General features: G+C 48.2%; 2 protein-coding genes across 28 annotated transcripts in view, besides 4 other annotated features; one reads left to right on the forward strand and one right to left on the reverse strand.

Moving 5' to 3' along the window:
* The window catches only part of ANKRD16 (ankyrin repeat domain 16), a 28,278-nt gene extending 24,452 nt beyond the window's left edge, over positions 1 to 3,826 (reverse strand). For all 3 annotated transcript variants that reach the window (NM_019046.3, NM_001009943.3, NM_001009941.3), the window contains exons 1-2: positions 2,974 to 3,826; positions 1,780 to 2,000 (exon numbers count right to left, since the gene is read on the reverse strand). In NM_019046.3, coding sequence (NP_061919.1) covers positions 1,780 to 2,000; positions 2,974 to 3,287 — 535 coding nt within the window. In that variant the 5' untranslated portion in view covers positions 3,288 to 3,826. The remainder of the gene's footprint in view (positions 1 to 1,779; positions 2,001 to 2,973) is intronic.
* Positions 3,109 to 3,388: a silencer, noted in NCBI's record as "silent region_2089". NCBI's record gives its function as "represses an Ori minimal core promoter by ATAC-STARR-seq in GM12878 lymphoblastoid cells {active_cell/tissue: GM12878}" and the evidence as "EXISTENCE:reporter gene assay evidence [ECO:0000049][PMID:35858748]".
* Positions 3,399 to 3,508: a silencer, noted in NCBI's record as "silent region_2090". NCBI's record gives its function as "represses an Ori minimal core promoter by ATAC-STARR-seq in GM12878 lymphoblastoid cells {active_cell/tissue: GM12878}" and the evidence as "EXISTENCE:reporter gene assay evidence [ECO:0000049][PMID:35858748]".
* The window catches only part of FBH1 (F-box DNA helicase 1), a 48,022-nt gene continuing 35,876 nt past the window's right edge, over positions 3,505 to 15,650 (forward strand). For 6 of the 25 annotated variants that reach the window (XM_017016844.3, NM_178150.3, XM_024448240.2 and 3 more), the window contains exon 1: positions 4,176 to 4,279. In XM_017016844.3, the coding sequence (XP_016872333.1) occupies position 4,279 (1 nt within the window). In that variant the 5' untranslated portion in view covers positions 4,176 to 4,278. Of the gene's footprint in view, positions 3,675 to 4,175; positions 4,280 to 4,607; positions 5,050 to 7,909; positions 11,404 to 14,465; positions 14,486 to 15,650 lie in introns of those variants that run through there. The other 19 variants (XM_047425894.1, XM_047425895.1, XM_047425898.1 and 16 more) reach the window with 10 other exon arrangements.
* Positions 3,649 to 4,368: a silencer, noted in NCBI's record as "silent region_2091". NCBI's record gives its function as "represses an Ori minimal core promoter by ATAC-STARR-seq in GM12878 lymphoblastoid cells {active_cell/tissue: GM12878}" and the evidence as "EXISTENCE:reporter gene assay evidence [ECO:0000049][PMID:35858748]".
* Positions 4,559 to 4,608: a silencer, noted in NCBI's record as "silent region_2092". NCBI's record gives its function as "represses an Ori minimal core promoter by ATAC-STARR-seq in GM12878 lymphoblastoid cells {active_cell/tissue: GM12878}" and the evidence as "EXISTENCE:reporter gene assay evidence [ECO:0000049][PMID:35858748]".

Below are 15,650 nucleotides of genomic sequence, written 5' to 3' on the forward strand. Positions count from 1 at the left end.
TCCATTTTTGCCCAGGAAATGCAAAATATTGTAACAGTAATCCATGGCAAAATAGCCTGGATTTAATTCCCCTACTAAAAGTAACTATACTCAAAGGTTATGACTATTTGTCTTCCACTATTTTGGGTGAATGATGGAGTGCTGATTGTTTCTCCAGGGGAGAAACTGGTCAAATAATTCATGAGCTAAAAAAAAGTTTTCTACTTACTTAAGAAGTTTTAGAAATGATTCCTTGGTCCCTAATTGCCAACTGTGGCTCATGCCTGTAATCCCAGCACTTTGGGAGGCCAAGGTGGGTGGATCACTTCAGGTCAGGAGTTCAAGACCAGCCTGGCCAACAAGGGGAAACCCCATCTCTACTAAAAATATGAAAATTAGCTGGGCATGGTGGCATGCGCCAGTAATCCCAGCTTCTCGGGAGACTGAGGCACGTGAATTGCTTGAACCTGCGAGGCAGAGGTTGCAGTGAGCCGAGATCGTGCCACTGTATTCCAGCCTGGGTGACAGAGCAAGACTCTGTCTCAAAAAAAAACAAAAGACAAAAAGCAACACTATAAAACATCACAAGTGATGATTTTTAGAGAAACTAAAAGCCCTCTATCCTAATCAATGTACTACCTAGAAAGCTACAAGTTATATTCTGAATTTCTTAATCTAGACTCTTGAGCTCCTTAATATCTAACTTCTGAAATTACAGTAATTTTACTTTTTACTAATTGTTTTCTTTTTACTTTCTTCAAACAAATGAGCAAATTGAAACTTTTTACTAAAATAATCTACAAATAGATAATTCAGAGTTAAGAGTCACTACTCCAAATAATAAAAACTGTAACCCAAATTTACATTAGATGTTATTGGGCCAAGGTATTTAATTATGAGTATCTATATTTATTTAAAAGTATAGCACTATGGTAGGTGTTACTAAGGCTATGAGGATATATATTTCCCTCCTGCCTTTAAGAGTAAGAATGTAAACATGATAAAGAAAATAGCACTAACCAGTTATTTTGTGCTATGTGCCAAGCATTGTCTAAAGGATTTACATACATCATGCTCTTTAAACTCTACAACAACCCTGAGACATACCATCACTGACATTATTATTTGGTTGATGAGGAAACTTGCTCAAGAGAGAGACTAATTTCCTTACCCAAGGTCAAAGACTATGTGCTACAGAACCAGCTCATGGGCAAATAATCTAGGGAGGATAACACAGATACACACGAAAAATAAATTAATACCACAGCATGCTAGCCAAGTTATGTTAACTTTAGAAATTGATTATATGCCAAAAGGCCCCTAGATGCTTTTTTTTTTTTTTTGAGATGGAGTTTTGCTCTTGTTGCCCAGGCTGTAGTGTAATGTAGTGCAATCTTGGCTTAGTACAACCTCTGCCTCCTGGGTTCAAGCCATTCTCCTGCCTCAGACTCTGGAGCTCCCCAGTAGCTGGGATTACAAGCAGCCGCCACCACGCCCGGCTAATTTTTTGTATTTTTAGTAGAGACGGCGTTTCACCATGTTGGCCAGGCTGGTCTTGAACGCCTGACCTCAGGTGATCCACCCGCCTCCGGCCTCCCAAAGTGCTGGGATTACAGGCGTGAGCCACTGCACCCGCGCCCCCGCCCCCACCCCCTCCCCCCCAGATGTTCTTATTCTCTGCCTTCTGTTTTCCAAAATCCTCCTTTCCCCTGAAGGTGACCTGAACAAGATGCGGTTGGGCAGTGCTGGGTGAAGCAGCCACATGTGTGTACTGCTCACCTGCAGAGCTGTAGGCTGTACCTGCAGTATGCAGAGGAGTCCTTCTAATTTTGCTCTCTGTCTTCCAGGCACCTGGGCAAACAGTGAGCAGGTACTGGAGGATCAGAGGGTCGCCTTCTCGACTGGCAATGTGGAAACTGTTCCAGCCATCTTTGTTCTTCAGGAGTGGATTGGCGCCATGTTCCACCAGCTCCTGGATCACCCCCAGGTTCTTCCTTGTGCAGGCCATCATCAGAGGAGTCCTAAGGCCAACCAGGAGAAGCTGTCAGATGGAGGCAGCTGAGACATTAGAAGCCAGGGGCCAGGTCTTCAAAACACACACATCCTTGGCACAGATGGAAAACCTAGAGGATTCAGGGGTCTGGCAGGCAGGAAAACAGCTTTGACCGGCAACCTCTGTGCCTTCTGTGAGGACCCTGGGAGAAATAATAAGGGGAAAATGATTGTAACGAACGTGTACCTAGAGGAGAGGGTGCCTGGGAGACAAAGCAGCTTATAAGCTAGTTCACAGGATAGCAGTGAATTGGAGCAGAGCTAAGAAAACCCACAGACAACCCTCAACACATAACGAAGTCTATTCCCCTGCCCCAGTGGGGAAGATGTACTTCCCTATGTTCCTAAAGATGTTCACGCCCTCTAACGAACCTGACCTAGTGAGTACTAAAATCAGTGTCAATCTAACAAACGAAATGCAATTGGCTTGTGTGATGGTGGAGCAGAGTATCTCTGACTGTGGTGGTTATGCAAGGCTGCACGTATGTGATACAACTGCACTGTGCTCTACACACACGAGCGCGTGTATAACTCAGGAATTCTGGATATTGATTGGAGCAATGCCACTTGAAACAATGCATTGGTGCAGAAGTAACTTAGCTAAATGTCCCCAGAACATCGCATCCGGAGGCTATCTGTATAGTGCACACACTTCATTGTTTGGTAACATTCTCTTTGGTTATATTCTACACTATTCCGTGCTCTAGAAAGGGAGGTGACTGCCCCGACCAGTTAACCCACAAGGGCAGGAACGAGGGACTCTGCAGGTCATCTGCGTTATAAGGGAAAGTTGGGCAGGAGGTCCCTGCCGCTGAGCAGGCCTGGGGTGAGAACTAGGAGCTGAGAACAGCTACGGTGTCCAAGGGGACGGAGAAGCACAGGGAACTCGCTACGACTCTGCGAGTAGAGGGGAGGCGGGGTGTCTTTCCGCTCCACACCTACCAGTCGGCCTTCTTCAGGCAGTCGACCGCTGCCCCCCGGCCCAGCAGGTAGCGCACGCAGTCTCGGTGGCCCATGGAGGCCGCCTCGTGCAGAGGCCGCTTGTAGTCTCGGTTGGTGGCCTCGATGTCCATGCCCCAGGCCTCGGCCAGATAGGCCAGCACGTCCCGATGCCCGTGGCGCGCGGCGCAGTGCAGGAGGGTATCCCCGGCCGGCCCCGGGCAGCCCCCGGCCGCCTGCAGCTCCTCCTTCAGGGCGCGCAGCCGGCCCTCCTGCACCAGCCTGCAGAGGCGCCGCGGGTCCCCGGGCTGGGCCATCGCCGCGGGTCGGGCCGGGCTGCGCGGGGAGGCGGCGGGCGGGACACCGGCGGCCGGGCAGGGAGAAGCCGAGGGCGAGTGGGACTTTCCGCCTCTTCACGCAACCTGCCCCGCGCGCCCCGAACCCGGCAGAACCGCCCCTCACGCCCCCGGCTTTGTCCCCGGCAGAGCCGCCTCCTCAAACCCCCGGCCTAGTCCGCAGGCGGGCTGCCCCCTCACAGCCCCGGCCTGCCCCGCGTGGGAGAAGCCGCGGTTCCGGGCACGGGGCGGTTTTTCCTCAGGGACGGAGCGGTCCGGGATGAGCACGGAGGGGCCTGGGGATCCGAGAGCGCTGGCGTCCGCCGTCCTGGAGCTGCAGCGGCCCGTACGTGATTCGGGACTGAACACGTAAGGGAGTGGGGCGCGCCGCTACACCGCAAAGCCCCAAAGTGGAGGGTCCGGGAGGGCGCGCACAGCCTCGCCCGGCGCCGTGCAGGGTGGCTCCTGAGGCAGCCAGGCCCAAGCGTGACCTGCCCCGCACGCGTCCTCAGGGCCGCCCCAGCCTCCAGCCCCTGGGGGCCGGCGTTCCTGGGCTCCGCCCCCGTCCCCGCCCCTCGACCGCCGCTGCTCCGCGGGGACTCGGGGAGCTCGAAGGAACTCTGGGAAAGTTTCCCGCTCCGCCCCGGCCCGAGCGGAAGCGCGGATGGGGCGTGGCCCGGTAGCTGTGGCCGCGCCCCCACCGATTGCGCATTTCGATTGGCGTTAGTGGCCGTCCGTCAGCACGCCCCCTCCGGTCTCGCGTCCCGATTGGTCGCGGGGGCCGTCAGTCCGGCTCCGGCGGCGGGCGCTTCCCGGGGCTGCGGCGGGGCGGAGCTCGCGGAGGAAGTCGGCGGGCGTCTCGGGCTCCAGGTCCCGGCCAGAGGAGGAGCTCGCTGCCGGGGGACGCTGGGCTGAGCGGCCGGCGGCGCGGGCCCGGCGGCGGCGGCAGCGGGGTCCGGGTCCGGAGCGCCACAGTGCGTGAGGCCGCAGACGTGGCAGGGAGTGTGGGAGGGGCTCCGCCGTGTGGAAAACTTAACCTCCGGGGTCCTGCGCGGGGGGTCCGGGCCCGGGGTGGGGCAGCGGGGGCCCCGGGGGCGCGAGGCTGGGCTCGGGCAAGCGCGGGCGTGGGGGCTCGGCCGTCCGGGCCGTGGGCAGGTGGAGGGCGCGGCGGGGGTGCGCGGGGGAGGCCAGGGCGCTCACTGAACTCGGTCGGGAGCGGCCCCCGCGCTGCCCCCCGAGGCCAGGAAGGCGCAGCGTGTGGGTCCTCGGGGCTGAAGGGGCAAGCGCGGGGACGTGGCCTCGGCTGCTAGGAGGCCAGGCTTTCCCGTCTACTCTGACGTTTTGACCTTGGGCAAGTCATTTTTCGCTGCCCTCTGCCCCTGTGTCATCGGTAGCTTCTCTGCCCCTCCTCTGAGCATGGGAAGCCTAAGGCGATGTGGGAGGCCTGGCGCTGGTGGAGGGCACGGCGAGAGCTGGGCAGGCTGTGGGTGATGGAAGAGATCAGTAGGTGTTGGGTTCCTTACCCGATCTGATTAGGTGCCAGTCACTTAACCTCTCCATGTTTTCGATTCCTTTAGGGAGTAGAATGGGAGTAGCTCCTATTTGCCAGGCCTAAAAACGAGTGCCGTTTACATTTTTTATTGCAGTCTGTGGTCCGAAGACAACCCTATGAGGCATCAGTAGGGTTTTACAGGTGGGGAAGTGGAGGCCTAACCAAGTCAGTGACTTTCTTACAGAATTACAGGTAATAAAGTCTTCTGGAAGGCAGGATGGTAGCATGTGTTGAGTGTCCGCCAGCGTCTGCCGCTGTGGTAAAATGAGCGGAGATAAATGAAAAGACTTCTGGAATGGGCCCATGAAGATAAGTCCGTTTTACTCATGAGCAGATTGAGTTTGGTTAAGGTAACAGTGATGTGGATAGCCTCTGGAGACAGAACTAGTCCAAGTACCAGCTTTGCTCAGGTTATTGTTCTGTCGTGCCTTGTCACTCCAGCAAAAGAAAAAAAGGAAGGCATAAAAGTTGTTTGAAATGCACAAAAGTGTAGGGCGTGCCAAGCAGTGTTCTGCTGCCGTTGAAGTTAGTGCAAATTGGAAGTTGAGGCATCTGGTAGCTTCATGCTTTTTGCTTTTACCCCTGCCCCTCTCCCAGTTTCAGATGACTATCTTCTCTTGCATTATGTCTCTAGTTTCCCTGTTTTTTAAACATAATTGGGACACACGGGTTCACAGTAGGTTGGAATATATATATATATTTTGAGACAGAGTCTCGCTCTGTTGCTCCGGGTGGAGTGCAGTGGCACGATCTCGGCTCACTGCAACCTCCCCCTCCCGGGTTCAAGCAATTCTCCTGCCTCAGCCTCCCGAGTAGCTGGGATTACAGGCGTGTGCCACCATGCTCGGCTAATTTTTTTGTATTTTTAGTAGAGACGGGGTTTCACCATGTTGGCCAGGCTGGTCTTTAAACTCCTGGCCTCAAGTAATTCACCCAGCTCGGCCTCCCAAATGCTGGGATTACAGGCGTGAGCCACCGTGCCTAGCCAGGTTGGAATATTTGAACCCAGGATAATTGGTTACTTCATTGGTGTTGCACATTCGATTCTGCCTCTTGTGTCTTCTCTATGAACCTTCTTTGCTCTGTATCCCCCTTTGGATAACTAAATGATAATGTATGTGAATCTGTCCCGCAGCTCCTGTGATTTTCTGGGCAAAAGCTTGGTCTAGAGGGGCGGGATCTGAACAGTAAGCTAATGGATGGAGCTGTTTCCTGGGTCTTGCTGTTTTCCGGTTGGGCTGCTCATTTCTTTCGTGCAGACTTTTGGAGGTTGTGGTCTGGCCTTTACAGTCACGTCACATGTAGTCGTCATTGGCACCGACTTGCTCCTTGGCTGCCCTTCCTTTTCCTCCTGTTTTTCATGGGTATGCTGTTGAGCATGCCCATTGGTACACTGATCATTTGACAGGTTTCGTGATTTGTGAGTGTGTGTAGACACCACTATTGGTATTAGATTTAGAATTCTAATTTTGGGTTTGTTGACATCATCTTTTTGCTGCTTATCTCATTCCTCTATCCCTCCTAGGCTGATTTTATTTGGAAACTGAATTTGGATTCCATCTTTGCCTTTCTGGCTGTGAAATTACCTACTTTTAGAAAGCATCTCAAATCTTATATCTGTAACTGTCATTCACATGCCTTTTGAAGACCAGTCTCAGATTTCAGAGGACCTCCTGGAGCATAAACATGGTATTCCACAGATAACTTAAAGCCAGAAATTATTTTTAAAACTAGGACTTTCAGCCTCCCTCTCACTCCGGGGGAAAAAGTGATTAAAACACAAACACTGTTTCTCTTTTATTCCTTAACATGGTTAATGACATTAACATCTCTTTGAATGTTCTACTAGAAATGCCAGTTATCCTTGTTGCTCTTTATCTTTTATCTTTCTGTCTTGTCAAACAAAGCCATGTTCTTATGCACCTGCAGGGTCTGCTACTCTCAGGCCTTTGCCAATTCTCACATAGGTTGATATGGTGGCTTTCTGAGTTGTTTTCCTGACAATCTCCATGTCTCTCCACCTTCTATCCTCTCTCCCGAGTCACTGTCCTAAAGTGTAAATTTGATTGTGTAATGACCCTGCTTTAAAAATTGGATGAGGCCGGGCGCGGTGGCTGACGCCTGTAATCCTACCACTTTGGGAGGCCGAGGCAGGTGTATTGCCTGAGCTCAGGAGTTCTAGACCAGCCTGGGCAACACGGTGAAATCCTATCTCTACTAAAATACAAAAAATTAGCTGGCTGTGGCGGTGTGCACCTGTAGTCCCAGCTACTCGGAAGACTGAGGCAGGAGAATCACTTGAACCTGGGAGGCGGAGGTTGCAATGAGCCGAGACTGTGCCATTGTACCCCAGCCTGGACCACAGACAGAGTGAGACTCTGTCTGAAAACAAAAAACAAACAAACAAACAAAATTGGATGATACCTTGAAGCCCCTACCTGATAAAGTCCAATTTCTTTTTTTGAAGCCCAATTTCTTTATCATTATGTGTAAGGACCTTTGTAGTCTGTGGCTCCAAATTCCTTTTCCAGCCTTATCTCCTGTCATTCCTCATCAGGGAACCTCTTGTTTTGATGAAGCCCAGCTTTCCTGCCACTCTAGTGCATTGTTAATGCCTCTGTATTTTTGCACACATTGTTTCCTTCCGCCTTACTGAATCCCATGATTCTTTCAAGACTCAACTCTTCGTGAAGCCTTTTTCAACTTGCCTAACTCTATTTATGTTTCTTTACTATCATAACACTTCATGCATGCATTTATGTAGTTGTTATATTACTTTATCTTTAGTAACTTGTGTTTGTTTTGGTAGCTGCCTTATGGGTAGGCTTATTCACTTTTGTATCACTAATGTCTAAAATAGCATTTAACACCAAGGATACCATAAGACAAAGCTCTCATGGAGTTTAAAATGAATCTGGGACATAGCAGATACGTAAAAGTAGTTGTGGAATGAATTGACTGTAGAAAAAGCCTTTCAAATATATAAAATTATATTCTAGACCATAAGTAGTGATCTTTCTCTTGTTTTTCAAACATTCCTTTCTTTCTTTAGGAAAAACATAGAACGGAAAGCCCAGCCCATCCTTGTTGGCTGTCATACACGAGTGCTGTCTCCAAGGGAGTCACAGGTGTCTCAGATGTGAGAGGATCCCGGGGAGATTGAGCTTACTGCCTGGGAACTTTTGGATTTCTGGAGAAGCAGGCTGTGGTAGCCTGGCTCTGCGTCAGTGAATACCTGGGAAAGGAGCTGGAGCTCTATTTTGCTTGCTTTCTGCATTCGTTTCTTTTAGAGCTAATGGGGACACAATATTTTGAAGTTTTTCCATTTCGGGTCTACAGCATTTAGTGGTATTTTCCTTATAGTTATGTTTTCCAAATACTTCTCAATTTCTTTGGTTCTGACATTTCACAATGATTTTAAAAAAATGTAATATGGAAATTAAACTTGAGGTTTTCAGAAGCTGCTTTCAAGGTGTCTAGATACAGAGTGAAGAATGTCACAGTAGGAAGTGCACTGGACTAGGGGAGTCAGGAGACCCGGGTTCTTGTGTTGGCACCATCACTCATGAGCTACGAGGTGACTTCAGGCAAGTCCTCTCTGAGCCCCAGCTTAATCATGGCACAATTGTAGGATTGCTTTGAGGGTCAGACGAGAATATAGGAAAGAACTGCAAAAGCTGTAAAGCACTTAGGAGCTCTGGGAGAGTTGAGAGCTTCAAAGCCAAGGAAGACAGCCCACACTTCAGAAGAAGTGCTGCAGCTGCACATTTGTTCGTTTAATCAGGAATTGTTTATGAAGCAATGTGTGTTACATGCTGGGTGTGAGTACCTCTCTACTCCTTCCCACTAGAGCAGAGAGCTTTTAGTCTGGGATGGAAGACGTATTAAATACAGACTTATACAAATAATTGTTATTAATATAATATGTAATACAGTGCAATTAAAAACAATAATTCATATAAGACACATGTTAAATGCACACTTACACAAAGAATTGTTACAAGTATCTCGGGTGTACAGGGCGGTTTTATTCCTGCGAAGTGCTTCCTGGCTTGAGTGAATACTTTTATGGTGCTGGAGTTGAGAGATAACACAGTTAACTGTTGAAATTGGGCCATTCCCGTTTCACAGGCTGCCATTGGACCTGTCAAGTGCCTGAGTCATGTGATAATGGGCTACATTGCGCAGGGCCCCTGGGCCATCTCCACAGGAGATGCCAGAGGACGAGTGCCCACTTGCTGGTCTTCACAGAGCACGCTGAAAGTAAGAGGCATGTGGGAAACTGACCAGGGCGGTTAGCTGACTCCAAAATTGTCCAGATTAGCAAAACTGCCCTCTGTGGATCTTTGTTAAAGTTGGGTATGGTATTGTAGCAGTTTCTCCAGTCAGGTACCTTGTACTAGCGAGTCAACTTGATTTTTTTTTGAAAAAGCAATTATTTAATAATAATATTTACTTCCAGGAATTCTAGGTACTTATTGTCTTCATCTTGTCCATTTAGGTCTGTAACCTAAAAGTTTTAAAGGACTTTTTGGTATGAATTCTGATTAGTAAAGGTAGAGGAAGAAAGGAAATTATTTGGTATCCATTTCAAATGATCCTGAATGGTTAGGGTAAGCTTTGCTGCAGTGACAAATAGATCCAGACATGTAATGGCCTCACAATAGACGTTTATTTTTCAATCCCATAACAATCTAAGGAGGCTACAGGTCATGGTGGTGGTTGGAGTTTGTGTGTGTAGGTGTGGGGAGGGAGGGTTCTTTTTAAAGCAGTAGTCCGAGGATTGAGGCTGCTGGAGGCTCTTCTATTTTGAACACCCGGCTTCTAAGGATGTCCTGGGAATCAGCTTCCCAGTTAAGGGGAAGAGGAGAAGAGTGGAGGGCAGGTCTGGAAGAGGCGTGTGCTGCTGCTGTTCCCATTGCATTGGCTGGCACCCAGCGGTAAGGCGACATCCACCTGCACGCAGGACTGGGAAGTATAGCCCAGCTGTGTGCTCAGGGAGAAGAGCAACAACATTCTTTGCAGCAAAACCTGAAACACTCAGTTTCACTTTCTGTGACTTGTTTTGTAAGTTGTTTTCAATAAAGAAGATTAAAAAAAGAAGCCAGGCAAATGAAAGCATAGGGGAGGAGTGGCAGACACGCAGTTCTCACTCTGCGACTGCAGGAGTGTCTCTTGTTTCCCCCTTGTGCACTTTGAGGAATGAGGGGATAGACGTGGTCCCTTCCTTTTAGTTCCCCGTAGCAGAGTTCTTGTAAGGACTCGTTCAGGGGAGACTGATAAGGGTCTCATCTCCATCGGGGGACCTCACCAGGGCATGGAGTGGGTCAGAGTGGGCTGGGAGGGGATAGACTGTCATCAAGGTGAAGAGATTTGAGGGGTGGTGGAGGGCTAAACTCCAGATCTGACCACTTCAAAGTCAGCAAAGGCCAGGAATTGCTGGGGTAGGGCTAAAAGCTGAGGGTTAGCAAAGAGAGGTGGGTCCTGGAATGGGGACCCCTGGGGTGGAGGACAGAGAAGTCACACTGTTAGAAAGCCGTCACAGAAAAGGCAGTGTGGGAATGAGCTTACTTAAGCCTAGGGAATATTCATTTGACAAAATGGTTTGTGTACATTCTGGTTTTTCTACCCTGACACCTGAGGGCTCTAACACATTTCTGTTGGTTATTGTGGAAGAGAGTGTCCAAGGGTGGGAGCACAGATGCCGAATTTGGTGTGTAGGAGACCAATTTCAACAACTCTGGGGGCCTTGTAGAGTTTGCAAAGCCCCGTAAGTGATTCTAATCTCTCTGCACCCACAAGAACCCCTAGTTTAGACACAGCTTCCCTTTATCTGTGGTCATTCACCACAGATAATTTCATTCCCTAAAGAATCACAAGCAGCTTCTAACAGTAAATGCCCTTTACAGGAGGTGTAAAGTGCACTTGCTGTGTAGAGAGGGAGGCATACCATGAGCTTTGCGTGACTCAGGGAAGGAGGATTTTTATGGAAGAAGTAGCATTTGAGCATTCTTATTTTGATAAAGTTATTTTTGAACTGCTTTTTAAAAAGGTATATTAATAAGAATAGAAGGGTGATTAGAATTCTAGTGTAGTGTTTTGGTTTTATTTTTAACCATTTAGCAAGAACATTAATGCTATTAAAACTGATGTGCCTTAGGAGACCCTCAGATTGGTGTGGTAGTCACATATTTCTTCTGACGTTTCTGTTGCTAGGTGTTGACATAGATTTAGAGATAGGTGTTGTCACCCTCAATGTGGGTGGCTTGAGTACTTACATATATATTGTCTCATTCTCTGAATTCAGCATGGCAGGTTATTATAATCCTCGTTTTCATAAGCAAGGCTTTGGCGATGAATATACCTGCCAAGTGTGGGTCTTCTCCTGCACCCCACAGCCTCGGAGGGGCTTTAAGGGAACATTAAGTGTAAAGCGTGTAATTGCAGAGGAGGTGGACACAGGGCTCCTGCGGAGGAGGTGGACACAGGGCTCCTGGCTCCCAGTTCAGAGCATCACAGCACCTCTCTCTGAGACCAGAGATACAGGTTAGTTTTCCTGACCTCCAGCTGACGTTAGAAAAGTTATTTTTGATACATATATCCAATAAGTCCAAGGGGTGGGGAATCCAATAAAAGTGTTAATAAAAATCCAATAAAAGTACCAGCTCTCCCGCCAGCCAAACTATGGCTGGTAACGCCATTCCAGTTATATAGGTTACTTATCTTAGTGCACAGAGGCCAGATCACCAGTCTAAGCGCCCCTCCCCCGGTACCGAACCTCAGTTCCTCCCAGGGTGGCTTCATGCCAGAACATATTGGAATATACCGGGACTCCCTTGAAGCAGAACACAGTGTTCCAACACTCCCATTAGCACTTTCTGTTACTCCTGTGTCTTTGTTAGATTTCTGCAAACACTTAATCTTCGCAACAAGCATTTTGGATTCAGACGTATTTTCTGAGATAAATACATAAATAAAAATCTATCCTGTTCATATTACCTTTTCCAAAGCAGTTCCCTTTGGGACTGAACATTTTTGATGTTCTGTCATCAGTCTGTTGTGAGCTACCAGGGAGGTCTCCCTGTGGGAGCAGTTCTGTAGTATATTCCTAGGGATTAGAGTGTAGGCTCCTGGACCTCCCAGCCGAATTCTTCTCCCTGCTCCTCATCCTTCTTGACCCACTCAGTATTCACAGAACGTGTGCTGCCTCAGTCCATTTGGGCTGGTATAACAAAATACCATAACTGGGCCGCTTATAAGCAGAAGTCTCTCTCACTCACAGATCTGGAGGCTGGAAGTCTAAGATCGAGGTGCCAGCAGATTTGGTGTCTGGTGAGGGCCGCTTCCTGGTTCATAGACGGCACCTTCTCTTTGTGTCCTCACATGGTGGCAGGAGTAAGGGAGCTCTCTGAGACCTCTCTTATAAGGGCACTAATCCCATTTGTGGGGACTCCACCCTTGTGACCTTATCACTTCCTAGAACCGCATTTTTTTTTTTTCTTTTGAGACACAATCTCTCTCCATTGTCCAGGCTGGAGTGCAGTGGCACAATCTTGGCTCACAGCAACCTCCACCTCCCGGGTTCAAGTGATTCTTGGGCCTCAGCCTCCTGAGTAGCTGGGGTTACAGGTGCCCGCCACCACACCTGGCTAATTTTTATATTTTTAGTAGAGATGGGGTTTCACTATGTTGCCAGGCTGGTCTTGAACTCTAGACCTCAAGTGATCCACCCACCTTGGCCTCTCAAAGTGCTGGGATTACAGGCATGAGCCACTGTGCCTGGCCCAGAGCCCCACCACTTCATACCGTCACCTTGCGGGTGAGGATTTCAGTGTGTGAATTTCAGGGACATGAACGTTGAGTACATGGCACAGACTATATGTCTGGCCCCACGCTATCTACATACAGAGTTACAGCAGTGAACCAGGTGGGCTAGCTGCTTACCTTGGGGCATGCTTACTGTCTTTTCGACTCTCAGGCATGTGATGAGACATCTCCATCTCATTGATGGTCATTATCAATGCACCGTTGTTACAGTGAGGTGGCTGCAGAAGGCTTCGATAAAGCCATTCTTACATACTTCACAAAAAACGTTCCAGGGTTCACCCTGCATGTGTAGGTACCTCTTCTATACAAATCTGCCAGCCTCTGTTTGTAGCTGTTTCCAAAAGCCAAATGTAGAAGGCCATCATAGATTTGGGTGGGCATCAGACCCTTCAACTGAGCCTGATTTTCTCACTGGTTATGTGCCTTTTCGTTGACTTTCAGAAGCCTTCGGTACCTGACACACCATTCAGCTAAGCAGGCCTGCAGCTGGCCTGAGGTCCTGGGTCTCAGATATGAGTGGTTTGATGTTGATCTTGCTCCTTTGTGATTTTTTGTTTTGTTTGTTTTGTTTTGTTTTGTTTTTTTCCTTCATGATTTTATCCATGAAAGCTTTTCTTCTCCAGGCCATTGTGGCAGTAGATGTTCACCTCCTATTTAAGTGAGATATTCACTCTTGGTAACTTTCTTTAGTGAGTGTCTCCAGTTATTTATTTTATTTTTTTCCTTTTTTCCTTACCCTTCATCAGGACACATAGTGTCTCCAGTTCTAATTGTAGATACTGTACTGACCAGCTCTGAAGCAATTGGGACTGTTTGAGGAGAGAGAAAAGCAGGCATGAGTCCACTCTGTTGGATCTATAGGGCCTGTGGATTTGCTGCCCGGAGTCCTGCAGCTGCTCCTGCTGTTGAGCATTGTGTGGGGCACCTCACCCAGGATTTTCGGGTGTTCTGGAAGCCATGTTGCCGCTCTACCTGTCTCTTTTGCAGATATGCCCAGAGGTCCCCATTCAGGCAAAATAGTCCTTGCGTTATATTTGTAATATGAAGGGTTTTGAACACAGGAAATAAAATTTCATCTTATTTTTTAAAAAGAGAACAACAAGACTTTGTTTTCTTTCCAATGTAGAAAACTTCAAATTTAGTTTTTAATGTAGAGAAACTTCACATTCATATTTTGTTTCTGTGTGAATAAGATGATTTGCTGTTGTTTTCCTCTAAATAAACTGGTCAGCAACATTACAGAACCAGCACAAACCAGCACAAAACCATCAAAGTGGAGGGGGTGTTTGCTTTTCTGTTCATAATAAGCGAGACATGTTACTGGTTAGTTTAGAAGGTATTTCCAGTAATACAGAATTGGCTGTATTTGGGCTGCTAATACACTTCCTGCTTTGCCATTAGGTGGCATCTTTATAATTTGAAGGATATTTCAATGTCTTAGGCAGGCTACTCACATAAGCCTTGTTAAATAGAGGAAACAGGTAAGTTTGTATGCATGCAGTTGGATAATTTGACAGACAGTTTTGAGCATATTTTCTCATCTGTTCCTGATGACACTTATCAGACTTAGATGAGATTGGGCGCGTTCAGGGTGGTATGGCCGTAGACCTATCAGACTTAGAGACCTGAGGTGCCCTGAAGCCATAGAGCAACCAAGTGGCCAGCTGAGGGTGCCAGCCCAGCCCTCCCGCCAGGCCCTCGCCGGCTCACCACGCTGCGCTGTGCTGCTTCGTGAGAGTGAGCGCATCTGTGATTGCTGAGGCCTGGCGCTCATGGGGTTGCACCCAGCTTCTGAGTTCAGGTAGTTAGACGATTTCCAGCGTCCTTTCAGAGGGGCTCTCAGAACTGCTTTTGTTTGTAGAATTGATTTTGGAAAAGTCTTAAAATATTCATGAAGTTTTTTTTTAAAAAAGCTGGTATTAAACCTTGAAAAAGTTAACTGAAATTTGGAAGGGTGATTTCTGAATTAGCTAGGGAGGAATAATGAAAAAATATTGTAAACTATATCAGCTAAATCACTGGGGTCTTGGCTTTATGTATTTTCAAGCTTAAAGGAAATGTCAAGCTGGGCACAGTGGCTCACATCTGTAATCCCAGCACTTTGGGAGGCCGAGGTGGACGGATCACTTGAGGCCAGGAGTTCGAGACCAGCCTGGCCAACATAGTAAAACCCCGTCTCTACTAAAGATACAAAAGTTAGCTGGGTGTGGTGGAGGGGGCCTGTAGTCCCAGCTACTTGGGAGGCCAAGGCAAGAAAATCACTTGAACCCAAGAGGTGAATGTTGCAGTGAGCCAAGATTGTGTCACTGTGCTCCAGCCTAAGCAACAGAGGGAGACTCTGTCTCAAAAAAAGAAAAAAGAAAAAAAAAGAAATGTTGAGTGAGATTCTGGCATTTGATACCATAGTTTAGTGGTGGAGTATTCTTTATTTTCTTTTTGAGATGGAGTTTCACTCTTGTTGCCCAGGCTGGAGTGCAATGGTGCGACCTCGGCTCACTGCAACCTCTGCCTCCCACGTTCAAGCGATACTCCTGCCTCAGCCTCCGGGGCATATGCCACCATGCCCAGCTAATTTTTTCTATTTTTAATAGAGACGGGGTTTCACTATGTTGGCCAGGCTGGTCTTGAACTCCTGACCTCAGGTGATCCACCCGCCTCGGCCTCCCAAAGTGCTGGGATTACAGGTGTGAGACACTGCGCCCGACCTACTGGAGTGTTTTTTAGGATCTGTGAAAATATGATACTGGTAGAACCTGATTTTATTCTCTTTTGACCATCTCCTATAAAGGCTAACTTTAATTCTTTTTTTTCTTTTTCTTTTTTTTTTTTTTTTGAGATGGAGTTGTACTCTCGTCCAGGCTGGAGTGCAATGGCACAATCTTGGGTCACTACAACCTCCGCCTCCCGGGTTCAAGTGATTCTTGGGCCTCAGCCTCCTGAGTAGCTGGGGTTACAGGTGCCCACCA

The sequence above is a fragment of the Homo sapiens genome, chromosome 10 (genome assembly GCF_000001405.40).
Source record: "Homo sapiens chromosome 10, GRCh38.p14 Primary Assembly".
NCBI lineage: Eukaryota > Metazoa > Chordata > Mammalia > Primates > Hominidae > Homo > Homo sapiens.